The sequence below is a fragment of the Homo sapiens genome, chromosome X, assembly GCF_000001405.40.
Source record: "Homo sapiens chromosome X, GRCh38.p14 Primary Assembly".
NCBI classification, from domain to species: Eukaryota; Metazoa; Chordata; class Mammalia; order Primates; family Hominidae; genus Homo; species Homo sapiens.
This window is the reverse complement of record NC_000023.11, coordinates 42,507,892-42,526,340: the sequence shown is the minus strand read 5'-3', so window position 1 is coordinate 42,526,340 and position 18,449 is coordinate 42,507,892. Positions and strand designations below refer to the sequence as shown.

General features: G+C 37.2%; 1 pseudogene; it reads right to left on the bottom strand.

The window, feature by feature from the left end:
* Nucleotides 1-778: 778 nt before the first annotated feature.
* LOC112268309 (ribosomal biogenesis factor-like) lies at nucleotides 779-10,290 on the bottom strand (annotated as a pseudogene).
* Between the last annotated feature and the right edge of the window lie 8,159 nt (nucleotides 10,291-18,449).

Below are 18,449 nucleotides of genomic sequence, written 5' to 3'. Positions count from 1 at the left end.
GAAAACGCAAGTTAAAACACAAAGTAACACCATTTCATATTTTAGCGTATCTATTCTCATTTCTTTTTTTTTTTGTTTTTTACTTATAAACTTTATCCTTTCTATCTATTGCTGTTTACATAGAAAATAAAAGAGAATTTTGAATAAAATAATTGGATTTAAGATTTGGCAAGCTTGTTCAATATATCATTAACATACAAACATCAACAGCATTCCTATATATTATTAACTAATTTTTAAATGCTATTGAAAAAACACTCCATTTACAAGGAACAATAGTCATTAGGTATCTAGAAATAAGCTTAGCAAATATGTACAAGACATCTCTAGAGAATAATTTCACCGCAATTTCGATTAAAATCCAAACAGGATTTTACATAAACCTTGACAAACTAATCCCAAGAGTCATATGACAATAGTAAAAAAATTATGAATAACTGGATACAGGGGCAGCATTGTTTGCCATATCAAATATTATAACCATTGTAAAATTATAGTAGTTAATACTGCATGGTACTAGCATATGGCTAGATAAATATGGTCTTTCCATATACGCATAAGTTTATTTCTGGACAATTTGCTCCACTTGCTTATGACAGATGTGATCTTACAAATCAGTGGGGGAAAATGTGGATTATACAACAAATGGTATAATAAAACAACCTCAGATTTCTAACCCTCATAATATGTGAATGCATTCTAGGTTGAAGAAAGACTTTTGTTGTATAAAACATTTATTTATTGGTCTTTTGGGGGAATTAGATGCATCACTACTGTATTACAAGTGAGCCATTAATTCTGTAGCTTCATCAATATTAGCTGGTTTTCTTTCATGACCTGCTGAGGAATCAGTTCATTCTGCAGAGATTCAAAAGAAAGGCCCTTTGAGAAGCATGCAAGCTCCTTTTGTATACTTACAAAAGCTTTATTCACTTTGTTAACTTTTTCATCATTCATAATATTTATCCTCTTAATATTAGTAGTAACTGGTTTTGCTTTGTTTTTAGCCTTAAAGGTTTTTTTTTTTTTTTTTCCCTTGGCTGGCTATGTAAAATACATTTCTGGACTTCCGCCCTCTTTTTTTTTTTTTTTCCTGAGACAAATCCTCCTTCTGTCACAAAGGCTGGAGTGCAGTGGCAACATCAAGGCTCATTGCAGCCTCAACCTCCCACCTCCTGGCTCAAGTGATCCTGCCACCTCAGCCTCTCAAGTAGCTGGAACCACAGGCCCATGCCACCACACTTGGCTAATTTAAAAATTAATTTTTTTTTTTTTTTGCAGAGACAGGGGGTCTCACTTTTTTGCAGAGATGGCTGGTCTCAAACTCCTGGGCTCAAGTGATCCTCCTGCCTTGGCCTCCCAAAGTGCTGGGATTACAGGTGTGAGCCACTGCACTCAGCCAGCCCTGTTCTCTTGATTTGTTCTTGGCCATTGTCTGTGATACCTGGATGCAGCTCATTAAGCTCCAGGTGACTCCATACACCTGAATAATGACTTCAATGCAAAATGTAAAACTTTAGAACTTTTAGAAAAAGTTACAAGGATTTTCTTTATAACAGTATGGGCATTTCAGTTTTCCATTTCTGACAAGGTACACTGAGTCTGAAAACAACAATTTGTTATTTCTCATGATTCTGTGGGTCAAGAATTCAGGCAGGGATCAGCTGGAATGTTTTCTGTTTTATGTGGTGGCTAGGATAATACACTCAGCTGCATTTAATTGGTGACTGAGCTGGCTGGAATGTCCAAGAAATATTAACTCAATTATGTGGTGCCTTGATGCTCCTTTATGTGAACTCTCTATCTCCACATGGATAACCTGGGCTTGCTCACAGTACGGTGATCTCATATTTCTTATATCACTTCCATGGCATCCTGTTGATCAAAGAAAGTCACAGAGGCAACCCAGACTCAAGAGGAGTCTGATAGGTGGAACAACAAGCTAAATTGTAGGCTGGCTAGTTTTCCAGAGAGAAATAGGGAAAGACAAAGTTGAAGAGCCCTTCTGAAGTAATAACTAATTTCAAATAGTATCTTTGGGAACTATCCTTTCAAAGGAGCCCAGATTTCACTGGATTTATGGGGAAGCAATTTCTATCCTAAGTCATTGTTTGAAATATACAGCAATCAGGCAGCAATTAGTGAAGCTCAACTGCTGGATGGGGTCAGGGAAAGAGACAGTAAGAGAGCCCTGCCAAAACCATTGTCATCCCAGCATGACTGTGGGTACATCTAAGTCTGCACTCCATGAAAAGCAGCATCAGGGGATTCACACTGCAGAGGTAAATAGATTTCACTGAAATAATTTTGCTGGTAATTAAACAAGTAAACAAGCAAATAATGAGCCCTGAAAAGGAGTAACTACTTCCCAGAGTTGCTACAATATATTATCTAAATTTTTTGATTTCAACAAAAAAATTACAAGACATGCAAAAAGACAAGAAGGTAAAACCCGTATACTGCAAACCAACCAACTGACCAAACAAACAAACATCAAGCAGCAGAAATTGTGAGTGACCAAATGTCAGATTTGACAGATTAAAGACTACAAGTAGTCGTTATAATTATGTTCAGAAACCTAGATGAAACCAGGTCTTCTCTGCTTGCCTGTTGCAGCATGGAACTCATGTGCCTTGAGCTGGGTTAAAGATGAATGGGGCCCTAGTATTCTCAGTGGCAACACACCCAAGGTAGAGAGACTCCATTCCATACGTGAGGGCTGGGCAGAAGAAGGGAGCCCCTCCCTCTCACCTGTACTTGCCCAGAGCTTAGATTCAGAAACAGACAGCTGAGGGCAGGATGAGAAATGGTGATTTTGTGCCTCTTCCAGTAAGTAAGCCCTCAATTGGGAGCTGGGAGAAAAAGGAGCCCTGTATTCTTGGCTATACCAGTATTGAGTGGAGTTTCTGAGTTACCGAACGGAGAGAAGGGAGGGAGGGTACAAATACTACAGACTCTTAGAGTTCTTCTTGAGTTTTAGTAACTGATTTACTAAATCATCTTGAATAAATGTTTCTTCATTTTCATTTTGCCCTTAGGGCTGTTCCCAGAGACTTTAAACGCTTGTTTGTTTTTTATAATTTATAGCAGTTTAACTGGGGAGCGGGTCCACAGAACTCCTCACATATCATGAACAAAAAGGGTTTATTCCAAGAATGTAAGAAAGTTGCAATATTTTAAAAAATCTATTAATGTAATGCTTTATATTAATATATCTTTAAAATTACATATCCATACATGTTAAAAATAAGGCATCTGGTAATAGTCGAAGTCCATTCTTTTAAAACACTTAATAAAATAGGCATTGGTCCTTTGTCGTGATAAAATAAGATTGAATAAAGCCAGCATCTTACTTAATAGGGAATCAGTGCAGGCCACTCACATTATAGTTAGAAACAGTGCAAGGATCTCACTATGTCCCCTACTCTTAATATTGTATTGGAGGTATTAGCCAAAGCAATTAGACAAAAGGAAACTTGGAGGCAAATGGCTTTAGAAGGAAAAGTGCAACAGTGTAAATAATATGAGTACAATGGGAATAAACAAGTGCATTAATAACAACAAACTACTGATGAGGCTATGAATGTCAGAGAATCTACTCTAAAGTTGCACATTTATAAATGCATACACACACACACACACACACACACACACACACACAATATTATCCATTACAACTTTATTTGAGAAAGCAAAGATTTGGAAGCAACCCAAATGTCATTCAACAGCAGTGGTATGAGCTGTGTTACTGCCACAAAATGGAGTGCTATGCAACTTTAAAAGGTGATGAGGAAGATCTCTATGAATTGAAGTAAACTCAATTCCAGGATATACTGTTAAAAGGAAAAGGCAAAGTACATAACAGTATATACACTAGTCTACCATCTTGGTAAGAAAGTACGGGAAATATAAATACATATGCAAAAACAAGCACAGGAAAGGCAGACCAGGAAACTAAAAAGGCAGATTTTTCTGAGTATTTTCTTATATGTGTTTTGATATATGCACTGTGTAAATGTTTTACTATATTCAAAAATAAAAGAAACCTCTAAAATGACAAGAAATCATCATAACTGTATCAAAATGTTTAAAAAGAAAGCACAAAAGAAAGACAGAGAAAATTATTTCAGGTAATTGTAGAGCACAGTACTCTGTATATACTTATTAGGATATGGTAAGAACAAAAAGAATTGCAAAGAAATTATAATAATATTTACTCAGTAGTAATATTGGTATACTAATTTTTAAATAATAGTGTTACTAGAAACAGTATATTCAGTGTAAGAGAAAAGAAAAGTTAAAAATAAAGAATTCTGTATAAATTTGAATTGAGAATGTCAATGTGAACTTGTGAAACTAGGTCACACAAAGGGCCAAGAAGCAATCCCACACTCAGTAACAGTGAGTATTTTTAGCTCTCAGATCCTAGTTTCCTTCATAATATGAATCAGAATTTCTTGGAGAAATGGTTAATTCCAGGTCTGGGACAGAGGAAGTATGAAGTGAGTCTGGTTCATCATGTGTCAGAAAGTTAGAAAGTGCCCAAAGCTAATCAAAGTGTACCAAAAGAATCCAAGGCCAGTAGGCTTGAAAAGGTTCCCACTGGCCAAATTTGGGAGATTTTAATAAGTGATGGTAACACCCTTAATAAATAAAAACTCATGAATCAGTGTAGCTGACCTTAACTGTTGGTGCCTTGCTCATACCCCTTAATCAGTAGACTTCTGAGTGCCAGTACCTGCCAGCACTTGTGTTTCTTTGCTGGAGGGCTTTCTCTGGATATTGGAGCCCTTTTGCCTGCCCACATGGCCAGTTGATAATACCAACTAATTAATGCTCCTAGGAGCAGTCTTCAAAGAATGACTGACAGAAATTGGTGAATAAATACCTCTCAAATGAGACAGCTCTGTGGCACATGTGTTACGTGGCTCTTTTCTGCATCAGGATTAAGCTCTAGTTAATTGCAGTGGTGAGCCACTAAGTAACACTCCCTGATTATCTTCCATCTCTTCCCTGTCTCATTTCCCTACTCCTCTACCAGTGTCTTTGGAATCACTTTCTAAATAACTACCTTCGCTTGAGTTCTGTCTCTGGGTCTGTTTCTGGGGAAACCCACACTAAGATAGCCCACAATAATCCTCAAAAGAAAGAAAAGAAGGAAAACCCCACTCATCTGCCATCAATTGAGATGACTTACTTTAAAAATTGCTAATTAAAGGAAAAGAATGAAGTAATCACCCTAGAGGAAAAACTGGAGTTCACTCCCAGTTGATCAGTGATAAATGCTCTTCTTTTTAGCTGAATGGCAACTAATAAATGTAGAATAATTGAAAGAATTAGAAAATTACCATCATCTTAGAATCACTAATTATATCATTGATTCAGGCGTCAAGGTATGCTAAAACCATTAGGTAAAAGAGTCATGGGAAAGAGGAAAATGTTCAGTTATCAGGAGACATATGTTCTAAAGTAAATGTTAAATGAAAACATGGGGAAAGATTCTGAGAAGTCCAGATTATGCATTATGCCACTTAGTCAATTGTCCTGATGACTTCAAAAAGTCAGTATCATAAGAAAAAATTGTAGGTATGACCGTTCTAGAATGAAATAGTTTAAAGAAACAAAACCAAACATAATGAGTGAAATTTGAATGGATGTTGCATAGAAAAAATAGTTATAAAAAGATACTTTGGGGAAAAATTTATATTGACAGAGTATTACATGAAGTAAGGGAATGCTTGTTAATTTTTGTAGGTGCAGCAATGATGTGAACATTACGTAGGAGAACACCTTACTCTTAGGAGAGGTATGTGGAAATATTTTGGGGTGAAGTGATGATGCCTGCAATGACCTAACTTAGTTTTAAATGTTCCACGTGTATGTGGTGTTGGAGGAGGTAGTAATAAATAAAATAAATGAAATGAGAGAAGGAGAATGAATAAGCAAAATATTAGCAATTGTCAAAACTCAGTGCCAGGTATATGAGTGTTTATAGTACCATTCTTTCAACTTTCTGTATGTTAGAAAATGTTTACTATAGAAGTTGGAGAAATATACATCTGAGGTAAATATGGCAAGATACCAATATTTTTAAAACAGATGGTAGGGATATGTTTGTTTATTATGTTATTCTATTTTGTTTATGTTTGAAAGGTTTCATAATGTAAGTTAATAATTACATAAAACAAAGCACTAAAGAAATGAGTTGGAGTTTACAAGTTGAAGAAAGGGAAGAAGGTATTTCAGGTAGAAGAAACAATGTGCAAAGACCTATGGCATATAAGAGCATGTTTTTTTCCTTCACTCTGATAGGAAGAGCCTGAAGGAACTGGCCTGTAGGGGGACCATGTGGGGCCTTTGAGAACAGTCAAAAGGACTCAGAATTTAAGGTGAGGGGAATGAAGCACTATACAAAGTATGTAAGCTGAGGAGAAACACAAATCAGAGAGGCATAGACTAGAATAAGAGAAGTCTGGAGTCTTTGGCAACAGTCCAGGTAAGTGGTGACTCAGGCCTAAAACCTGCTTGGGCCAATGAGAATGGACAAGATTTCAAAGAAGAAGAAAATATTTTCAAATATTTTTCACTCAACACACTATAGCTCATCATACCTTCTAGTTACAGGAACCCAGAGAAACTAGATCAACACTAACGAGCAACCCCTACTTTCTAAATTCACTAAGACGAACACACAACTTTGTAATAAATGCATATTTATAGGACCTGTTTGGGAGATAATTTGTCTGATAAAAAAGAAGAATTTGAGCCAATAGGAGATATTTTAAGTTGTGGTGGTTTATTTATTAAGATTTCTGTTTTCCAAAACCAGGCACATTCTAATAAAAGTTATCAAAATGGAAAGAACGCTTGTAAAACTACACCATGATTACATCCTCTCCAATTTTATCACTTTCCATCAGCTAATAACTACATGTCTGTCCCTTGATTTATCATTTTAGCACTACTTTTGTCAGAAAAAAATAAAGAGTGCTGGGGTGGACAAAAAGCTGCTACTAACCAATGTGATACTTTCGTGTGAATTAGGAAAAGGTTCTCATTCTTTAATAATTTATTTTCAGCTTTATTGAGGTATAATTGACAAATAAAAATTGTATATATTTGAGGTGTACAATTTGATGTTTTGATATACATACACATTGTGAAATAATCACAATCAAGCTAATTAACATGTTCATCATCTTACATAGTTACCGTTTTCTTTCTTTTGTGTGTGTGTGTGTGTGTGTGTGTGTGTGTGTGTGTGGTGAGAACACTCAAGATCTACCCTCTTAGCAACTTCTACGTATACAATACAGTATTGTTAATTTAAGTCACCAGACTGTATATTAGCTCTCCAGAACTTATTTATCCTGCAAAAACTTTGTACCCTTTGACCAACATCTTTCCATATAATTTCTTAAATGAATGTATTGTAGTAGACAGGCTTTAAGGTGGCCTTATGATCCCCAACCCCTGGAGTTCATACCTTTGTATGGTTCCCTCTCTTTGAGTGTGGTGGGGCCTGTGACTTCCTTGTAACCAACAGAATATGGCAAAGGCGATGGGATGTCACTCCTATAATCACATTACATTATATAACTCCATCTTACTAGCTAACTTGCTATCTTTCTTCCTTGCTGGCTTTGGAGAGGTAAGCCGCCATGTTGAGTGGACCTATGGAAAGGGCTATGTGGCAAGGAGCTATGGAAGCCTCTAGGAGCTGAGGGCGGCCTCCAGCCAATAACCAGGAAGAAGCCAGAGTCCTCAGTCTTACAAACACAAGGAAATGAATTCTGCCAACGACCACAAGAGCTTGGTAGCAGATCCATTGCCAGTTGAGCCTCTAGATGAGAACTCAGCTCTGGCTGACACCTGGATTGCAGCCTGGCAGAGGACCTAACTAAGCCACGGCCAGAGTCCTGACACACAGAAACCGTGAGACAATAAATATTTGTTGTTGTAAGTTACTAAGTTTGTGGCAATTTGTTATGCAGCAATAGAAAGCTAATATATATATTCATGTGTAATCCCAACAATCATACACAGCAACCAGCTGTTGACCCCTCTGGCCAGATTAGGTGACTGTATTTGTCTCTAAACTCCCTCTGCCTCTCTCTTACACATGTGATTGCATTTAGGCCCCACCGAGAAAATTCAAGAAAAGCACTGCGTGTCAATATCTTTAACTTAATCACATACTTTGCCATATAAGGTAATATTCACTTTTTACTATGTAAGAAAATATTTACAGGTTCTGGGGCTTAGGAAGTGGCTATATCTCGGAAGAGATGTCATTTTTTTCAGCCTAGCACAGTGACCATAGAGGTAGCCAGTGTGTAAAAAAATAGAGAAGGGCAGGAGAGAGAGAAAAGGAATCAGGGGAACACTACCTTTAGGGATTGGATAAAGCCTATTTGAATGTACTCCACTTGAGTACGAAGATCGTCCCAGGGCCTGAGGGTGGCAGCTGCTTGTGTACACACACACACACACACACACACACACACACACACACACACACACACAAAACCATACATTCCTGTGAACTTACCTCCTGCCCAGCACATAAAACGTAAGGAGCGCACATACTCCAACCCCAGATGAGGTGACCATGAGAAGTTCAGTGTAAGAGGAAATGTTGGAATCCAGATACTCAGAGTACAGCCAGAAGAAAGCGTAGCCATGTGCACATGTTCATCTCCAAGTAAATGTGATAGTGCAGGCCCTGCTGAGGTGTGCATGACCAGTTGAGAGAGTGAAAGTTTATGGAGTAGAGGGCGCTCTCTTGCTGCTTCAGGACTCAGCCAAGAGGCCTGGAATGTCTACACTCACCTGCAGCGCTCCCAGGTAAGTTAGTTCTGTATGTGTCCCCAATGTGAATGGTGCCTCCTCAGATGTGTTGACCCTGTACAGTGCATACTCTGAACAACCTAACATGGAGATTGAGGGAAGGAAAGTGTAGGAGAAACAGCACCCAATCTAGAATCCTGAAATCACATCGGAAAACCAAATTTTGGCTGGGTATGGTGCCTTACACCTGCAATCCCAGCACTTTGGGAGGCTGAGGTGGGAGGATTGCTTGAGACCAGAGTTTGAGACCAGAGTTCAAGATCAGCCTGAGCAACAGGGCGAAACCCCGTCTCTACCAAAAAAAAAAAAAAAAAAAAAAATAGCCAGGTGTAGTGGCACTTGCCTGTGGTCCCAGCTACTCAGGAGGCTAATGTGCGAGGATTGCTTGAGCCTGGCAGATCAAGGCTGTAGTGAGCTGAGATTGTGCCACTGCACTCCAGCCTGGTGACAGAGCAAAACCCTGTCTCAAAAAGAAAGAAAAAGGAAAAACCAAATCTCAAGATTTGGTTCAGACGGCTGCATCAAAGAAGATAAATATCTGAAACTTATAGCTTCAAAATGTGAATACCTATCCATTTTAAAGCATTCCATAATTGCTAGGGATGCTCAACATATGGCTACACTCACATCTTTTCAGTGGTGTGCTGCTGATCTTTCATTGCCTACCCAGGAGCAACAAGCTTTATCACACTTTATGTGTTTGTGAGAAGTAAGATGAATTTAAACATCAGCTCTTCAGTATATGGAAGACCCTTAAACATTTCTTTGTAACTGCTTGTGTGAGTCAATCACCCACGTTGGCAAAGTTTCCAAAGTATTCTGTTGTTTTGACATTGCATATATGCAGCCCAATAGCAGCCAAATCAGTGGAAAACACTCACCGTGTTTAATTGTAACCACTTGAGTCAGACTAAAAAGCAAACAAGGCTAACGCCATCTATGGAAACATCCTAAATTCACTTAAGAACCTATGACCCCACTCCCAAGTATATTCATGCCGAGTATACTTTTCACCTACCCAGTGACTCCCTCAATTACCTTTTCCTTCCTATCACCCTCCCAATAGATATCTAAGAATAGCAGAGAAATCTTCATCTCTTTTGGAGGAGAATATCATTTTAATATAATCAAAGCTCCATTGATGTCTATGTAGGTTACATCTATTGCTTCCTTCATATCTGCATGGCCTGTCAGTCTACCATGCAAAGATCTTTATTAATTCTATTATGATCATCCTTGTTGTTTGAACTTGTCTAGTAATAGCAAGTCTTAAAATAAATTGTTTTATTTTCATTCCAATTGTTGAAGCTAAGCTTACTCATCCATTAGCATCAGGCTTAGACATTTTTCTGCATGTGCAATAGCTAGATGTATGTCATTTTCTTTAAGAGTAGGTGAATCACAATACTGATCAGTCAGTGCTCCAGTATCCAAACACATATCAGCACCCCGTTGATTTTGTTCTAAAAAAATAGCCCCAGATAAAATATCTTCCAAAGTAATACTCTTTCTGTACTCTGCCTTTTGTCAGCCATAGTAAAATCAAAATAAGATATTCCAGCAACCTTGGCCTGAATAGGGCACAAGTACAAATTTTCACTAAGCCTCAGAAAGCCCCATTGACTAGAGCAAGGCTGATTCAAAATGTCTCCTTCCTTCAGAAGTCAATTCAAATGGCCAGTAACCATCGTTTTATATTTTTTCCCCAATATGCCATTTCACTTGCATAGAACCAAATATAAGAAATGTTTAAAAAAAAAAAAAGATATACAAAACTTAGAACAAAATAGTCCTAGCCACACCCTTCCCAAAATAAAGCAGGGCCAAGCAAATTTGTAGAGTTCAGTTATTTTCATTCTCCTCCATATCCGTTCCAAGTTTCTATCTTACCTTATTTCTCTGTTAAGGTCCTCCAGTACAACAATGAATAGAAGAGGTGATAACAGGCAAACTTGTCTTGTTCTCAGTCATAAAGGAAAAGCTTCTAGCAATTCATAATTTAGTATGATTTTTGTTGTAGCTTTTTTTCTGTGGATAATTTTATCAGTTTAAGAAAGTTCTTTTATTACTAGTTTGTTTAGAGGAGCTTTTTACCCCTATAAATGGATATGGAATTTTATCAATTTTTTCAGCATCTATAGAGATGAACACATCATTTTTGCCCTTAATTATGTTGTGATGAATTACATTGCTCAACTTTGTATTGTTAAACCAACCTTGCCTTTCTGGAGTAAACTCAACTTGGTTCAGATCTATCATATTTTTAACATATTGCTAGTTTTGAATAGCTATTATATTATTTGGGATTTTTCATGCATGTTCTTGAGTAATATTGACCTGAAATGTCTCTTGTTATATCCTACTTAGATTTTTAGTATCCCTGATTATGCTGGCCTACAAAATGAGTTGGGGAATGTTCTCCTTTTCTTCATGTGTCACATCGTTTTTAACAGATTGCCATTCTATTTTCATTAAATGTTTGGTAAAATGTACTAGTGAAGTCGTTTGGGAATTTTCTGTGTATAAAGAAAACCAAAATATTGCTGTTTAAAATACTGGGAATTATTGAGCTGAAGAATATTAAATAGCAGGAGGACACTCTGCTCCTCCCTCTGCTTGCCTGATGGCAGGACAATTTCCATAGACAAGGTTTTTCTTCCCTCTGCCTTTTCCTACCTAAAGATAGGCCCCTTTACAATGCTTGCTTATCAGCTCAGAGACAGTGGTGCCTGAGGATCTAGAAGCAGATTTTACTCTTCCCACAAACTTAACTTCTCACATTTTCCCACCTTTTGGAAGCCTGAAGATGCTCTCCTTTTTGTCTTTTCACTGTAGAATTTATGGCTCTTGGTTAAAATACTATCTAAGTAAAACCACTAGGCCACTGTCTTGAAAGAAAAGTGCTTTTGAACTGAGGCCTCTCCTGTGTGATGTGTATAGCATTTGTCAATAAACTTCTACTGGTTTTTCTCTTGTTAATCTGACTTTTATTTTCAGGGGAGTGTCTCAACTAAGAACCTATGAGGTAAAAATACAGATTTTCTCCCTTACATGTAGAAAAGCTTATAAATTTCATTTGCAAATGTTTTTCTATTCTTCAGGTCGTCTATTTCTTCTTGTGTCAGGCTTATAAACTTGTATTTTTCTATAAATTTCTCTAGTTCATCTAAATTTTTCAAGTTTATTGGCATAAAGTTGTATATGATAGCTTCTTAATATATTTTTATGTCTAGGATGCACAGTGATATTTTATGACTTTTAAAAATTTTATCCATTGATTTAAAGTAATAAAAAGTGTCAATAAGTATCCTTATTGATGCTTTTTTATTTTCCTCTACTTCCTCTGATTTTAATTTGGCTTCCTTTTCCTAATTTATTTATATGAATGCTTAGCTTATTGATTTTTAGCCTTCCTCTTATCATACGTGGGTTTAAAACCTCCAGCCTCCAGCTGAAAGCCAGCAAGAAGCTGAGGCCCTTAGTCTGACAGCCTGAAAAGAAATGAATGCTGCAAACAACCACGTGAGTTTGGAAACAAAGTCTTCCCTGGTAGAGCCTCAAATGAAAACCAAGTTCTGGACAACACCTTGATTGCAGCTTTGCAGAGGGCTCAGCTAACCTATGCCCAGTCTCTCAACCCACATGAACTGTGAAATAATAAATATGCATTATTTTAAGCTGCTATGTTTGTGTAATATTGTTATGCAACAACAAATAACTAAAACAACGTGTTTGTGTCATCTTTACTACTGAAGAAAATTATCACTTAGTGTAGAATTCTAGGGTGGTGCATGTTTTCTTTCAACATTTTAAAGATGTCATTCCAAGGTATTGGGTTTGTGATGTTTCTATTGAGAAGTCAGTGGTCATTGCATTTGTTGCTTCTTCGAAAGTAATTGATATTTTTATTCTAGCTGCTTTTAACATTTTTCAAGATTGTTATTTTGAGTGTTCAGTAGTTTTACTGTGATGTGCCTAGGTAATAATTCCATTTTATATATCTTGCTTGGAATCAATAGGGCTTCTTGATATCTTTTATCTATTTTTGAAATAGTCTCAGCCATTTTATTCAGATGCTGTTCTGTTCCAATCTCTCTTTTGTTCTGTTTCTGAGATTCCAATTACATATGTGCTAGATCATCTTACCATACGTTTTACTGTATCTTCTGTATGTTTGATCTTTCTAACTTACCCAGCTTAATTCTAGATATTTTCTTCTGAACTATCTTCCCATTCATTAATCACCTTAACTCTGTCTAATTTGCTGTAAACCGTAAGTTCTTAATTTTTTATTTTTATGTTTTATTTATTTTTATTTTAACTTTTTTATTATGCTTTAAGTTCTGGGATACATGTGCAGAACGTGCAGGTTTGTAACATAGGTATACACATGCCATGGTGGTTTGCTGCACCCATCAACCCATCATCTACATTAGGTATTTCTCCTAATGCTATTCCTTCCCTACCCCTCCCGACCCCCTGACAGGCCCCGGTGTGTGATGTTCCCCTCCCTGTGTCCATGTGTTCTGATTGTTCAGCTCCCACTTATGAGTGAGAACACACAGTGTTTGGTTTTCCGTTCCTGCGTTAGTTAACTGGGAATGATAGTTTCCAGCTTCATCCATGTCCCTGCAAAGGACATGAACTCATCCTTTTTTATGGCTGCATAGTATTCCATGGTGTATATGTGCCACATTTTCTTCATCCAGTCTAACGTTGATGGGCATTTGGGTTGGTTCCAAGTCTTTGCTATTGTGAACAGTGGTGCAGTAAACATATGCGTGCATGTGTCTTTATAGTAGAATGATTTATAAAACTTTGGGTATATACACAGTAATGGGATTACTGGGTCAAATGGTATTTCTGGTTCTACATCCTTGAGAAATCGCCATGCTGTCTTACACAATGGTTGAACTAATTTACACTCCCACCAACAGTGTAAAAGTGGTTCCTATTTCTCCACATCCTCTCCAGCATCTGTTGTTTCCTGACTTTTTAATGATCACCATTCTAACTGGTATGAGATTGTATCACATTGTGGTTTTGATTTGCATTTCTCTAATGACCAGTGATGATGAGCTTTTTTTCATATGTTTGTTGGCCATATAAATGCCTTCTTTTGAGAAGTGTCTGTTCATATCCTTCACCCACTTTTTGATGGGGTTGTTTGTTTTTTTCTTGTAAATTTAAGTTCTTTGTAGATTCTGGATATTACCTCTTTGTCAGATGGATAGATTGCAAAAATTTTCTCCCATTTTGTAGGTTGCCTATTCACTCTTATGATAGTTTCTTTTGCTGTGCAGAAACGCTTTAGTTTAATTAGATCCCATTTGTCAATTTTGGCTTTTGTTGCCATTGCTTTTGGTGTTTTAGCCATGAAGTCTTTGTCCATGCCTATGTCCTGAATGGTATTGCCTAGGTTTTCTTCTAGGGTTTTTATGGTTTTAGGTTTTATGTTTAAGTCTTTAATCCATCTTGAGTTAATTTTTGTATAAGATGTAAGGAAGGAGTCCAGTTTCAGTTTTGTGCATATGGCTAGTCAGTTTTCCCAACACCATTTATTAAATAGGGAATCCTTTCCCCATTGCTTGTTTTTGTCAGGTTTGTCAAAGATCAGATGGTTGTAGATGTGTGGTGTTATTTTTGAGGCCTCTGTTCTGTTCCATTGGTCTATATATCTGTTTTGGTACTAGTACCATACTGTTTTGGTTACTGTAGCCTTATAGTATAGTTTGAAGTCAGGTACTGTGATGCCTCCAGCTTTGTTCTTTTTGCTTAGGACTGTCTTGGCTATACAGGCTCTTTTTTGATTCCATATGAAATTTAGAGTAGTTCATTATAATTATGTGAAGAAAGTCAATGGTAGCTTGATGGGGATGGCATTGAATCTATAAATTACTTTGAGCAGTATGGCCATTTTCACTATATTGATTCTTCCTATCCATGAGCATGGAGTGCTTTTTCCATTTGTTTGTGTCCTCTCTTATTTCCTTGAGCTATGGTTTGTAGTTCTCCTGGAAAAGGTCCTTAACATCCCTTGGAAGTTGTATTCCTAGGTATTTTATTCTCTTTGTAGCAATTACGAATGGGAGTTCACTCATGATTTGGCTCTCTATTATTGGCGTATAGGAATGCTTGTGATTTTTGCACATTGATTTTGTATCCTGAGAATGCTGAAGTTGCTTTTTAGCTTAAAGAGACTTTGGGCTGAGATGATGGGGTTTCCTAAATATACAATCACGTCATCTGCAAACAGAGACAATTAGACATCCTCTCTTCCTGTTTGAATACTCTTTACTTCTTTCTCTTGGCTGATTTCCCTGGCCAGAACTTCCAATACTACGTTGAATAGGAGTGGTGAGAGAGGGCATCTTTGTCTTGTGCCAGGTTTCTAAGGGAATGCTTCCAGCTTTTGCCCATTCAGTATGATATTGATGGTGGGTTTGTCATAAATGGCTCTTATTATTTTGAGATACATTCCATCAAGACCTAGTTTATTGAGAGTTTTTAGCATGAAGGGGTATTGAATTTGTCAAAGGCCTTTTCTGCATCTATTGTGATAATCATGGGGTTTTTGTTGTTGGTTCTGTTTATGTGATGGATTATGTTTATTTATTTGCATATGCTGAACCAGCCTTGCATCCCAGGGATGATCGTCATGGATAAGCTATTTGATGTGCTGCTGGATTTGGTTTGCCTGTATTTTACTGAGGATTTTTACATCGATGTTATCAGGGATATTGGCCTAAAATTTTCAATTTTTTGTTGTGTCTCCACCAGGTTTTGGTATCAGGATGATACTGGCCTCATAAAGTGAGTTAAGGAGGAGTTCCTCTTTTTCTATTGCCTGGAATAGTTTTAGAAAAAATGGTACCAGCTCCTCTTTGTACCTCTGGTAGAATTCAGCTATGAAGCTGTCTGGTCCTAAGCTTTTTTTGGTTGGTAGCCTATTAATTACTGCCTCAATTTCAGAACTTGCTATTGTTCTATTCAGGGATTCGACTTCTTCCTGGTTTATTCTTGGGAGGGTGTATGTGTCCAGGAATTTATCCATTTCTTCCAGATTTTCTAGTTTATTTGCATAGAGGTGTTTACAGTATTCTCTGATGGTAGTACGCATTACTTTGGGATCAGTAGTTATCTCCGCTTTATCATTTTTTTATTGTGTCTATTTCCTTCTTCTCTCTTTTCTTCTTTATTAGTCTAGCTAGTGGTCTATCTATTTTGTTGATCTTTTCAAAAAAACCAACTCTTGGATTCATTGATTTTTTGAAGGGTTTTTCGTGTCTCTATCTCCTTCAGTTCTGCTCTGATCTTAGTTATTTCTTGTCTTCTGCTAGATTTTGAATTTGTTTGCTCTTGCTTCTCTAGTTCTTTTAATTGTGATGTTAGAATGTTGACTTTAAATATTTCCTGCTTTCTCCTGTGGGCATTTAGTGCTATAAATTTTCCTCTAAACACTGCTTTAGCTGTGTCCCAGAGATTATGGTACAATTTGTCTTTGTTCTCATTGGTTTTGAATAAATTGTTTATTTCTGCCTTAATTTCGTTATTTACCCAGTAGTCACTTAGGAGCAGGTTGTTCAGTTTCCACGTAGTTGTGTGGTTTTGAGTGAGTTTCTTAATCCTGAGTTCTAATTTGATTGCACTGTGGTCTGAGAGACTGTTTGTTATGATTTCTGTTCTTTTGCATTTGCTGAGGAGTGTTTTACTCCCAATTTTGTGGTTGATTTTAGAATAAGTGCAATGTGGTGCTGAGAAGAATGTATATTCTGTTGATTTGGGGTGGAGAGTTCTGTAGATGTCTATTAGGTCCACTTGGTCCAGAGCTGAGTTCAAGTCCTGAATATCCTTTTTAATTTTCTGTCTCTTTGATCTGTCTAATATTGACAGTGGGGTGTTAAAGTCTCCCACTATTATTGTGTGGGAGTCTAAGTCTCTCTGTAAGTCTCTAAGAACTTGCTTTATGAATCTGGGTGCTCCTGTATTGGGTGCATATATATTTAGGATAGTTATCTCTTCTTGTTGCATGGATCCCTTTACCATTAAGTAATGCCCTTCTTTGTCTTTTTTGATCTTTGTTGGTTTAAAGTCTGTTTTATTAGAGACTAGGATTGCAACCCCTGCCTTTTTTTTTTTTTTTTTTTTTGCTTTCTGTTTTCTTGGTAAATATTCCTCCATCCCTTTATTCTGAGACTATGTGTGTCTATGTATGTGAGATGGGTCTCCTGAATACAGCACACTGATGCACACTGTTTATCTAATTTGCCAGTCTGTGTCTTTTATTTGGGACTTTTGTCTCATTTATATTTAAGCTTAATATTGTTATATGTGAATTTGATCCTGTCATTATGTTGCTAGTTGGTTATTTTGCCCATTAGTTGATGTAATTTCTTCATAGTGTTGATGGTCTTTACATTTTGGTTTGGTTTTGCAATGGCTGGTACTGATTTTTCCTTACCATATTTAGTGCTTCCTTCAGGAGCTCTTGTAATGCAGGCCTGGTGGTGAGAAAATCTCTCAGCATTTGCTTGTCTGTAAAGGATTTATTTTTTCTCCTTTGCTTATGAAGCTTAGTTTGGCTGGATATGAAATTCTGGGTTGAAAATTCTTTTCTTTAAGAATGTTCAATATTGGCCCCCACTCTCTTTCTGGCTTGTAGGGTTTCTGCAGAGAGATCTGCTGTTAGTCTGATGGGCTTCCCTTTGTGGTAACCTGACCTTTCTCTCTGGCTGCCCTTAACATTTTTTCCTCCATTTCAACTTTGGTGAATCTGAGAATTATGTGTCTTGAGGTTGCTCTTCTCAAGGAGTATCTTTGTGGTGTTCTCTGTATTTCCTGAATTTGAATGTTGGCCTGTCTTGCTAGGTTGGGGACGTTCTCCTGGATAATATCTTGCAGAGTGTTTTCCAACATGGTTCTGTTTTCCCTGTTACTTTCAGGTATTCCAGTCAAATGTAGGTTTGGTCTTTTCACATAGTCCCATATTTCTTGGAGGCTTTGTTCATTCCTTTTCATTCTCTGTTCTCTATTCTTGTCTTCATGCTTTATTTCATTAAGTTGATCTTATCTCTGATATCCTTTTTTCTGCTTGATTGATTCAGCTATTGTTACTTGTGTATGCTTCCCGAAGTTGTTGTGCTGTGTTTTTCAGCACCATTAGGTCATGTATGTTCTTCTCTAAACTGGTTATTCTAGTTAACAATTCCTCTAACCATTTTTCAAGGTTCTTAGCTTCATTGCATTGAGCTAGAACATACTCCTTTAGCTTGGAGGAGTTTGTTATTACCCACCTTCTGAAGCCTACTTCTGTCAATTTGTGAAACTCATTCTCTCTCCCGTTTTGTTCTCTTGCTGGTGAGGAGCTGTGATCCTTTGGAGGAGAAGAGGCTTTCTGGTTTTTGGAATTTTCAGCCTTTTTGTGCTGGTTTTCTTATCTTCGTGGATTTATCTACCTTTGGTCTTTGATGTTGGTGATCTTCAGTTGGATTTTCTGTGTGGACGTCCTTTTTGTTGATGTTGATGCTATTTCTTTCTGTTTGTTAGTTTTCCTCCTAACAGTCAGGCCCCTCTGCTGCAGGTCTGCCAAAGTTTGCTGG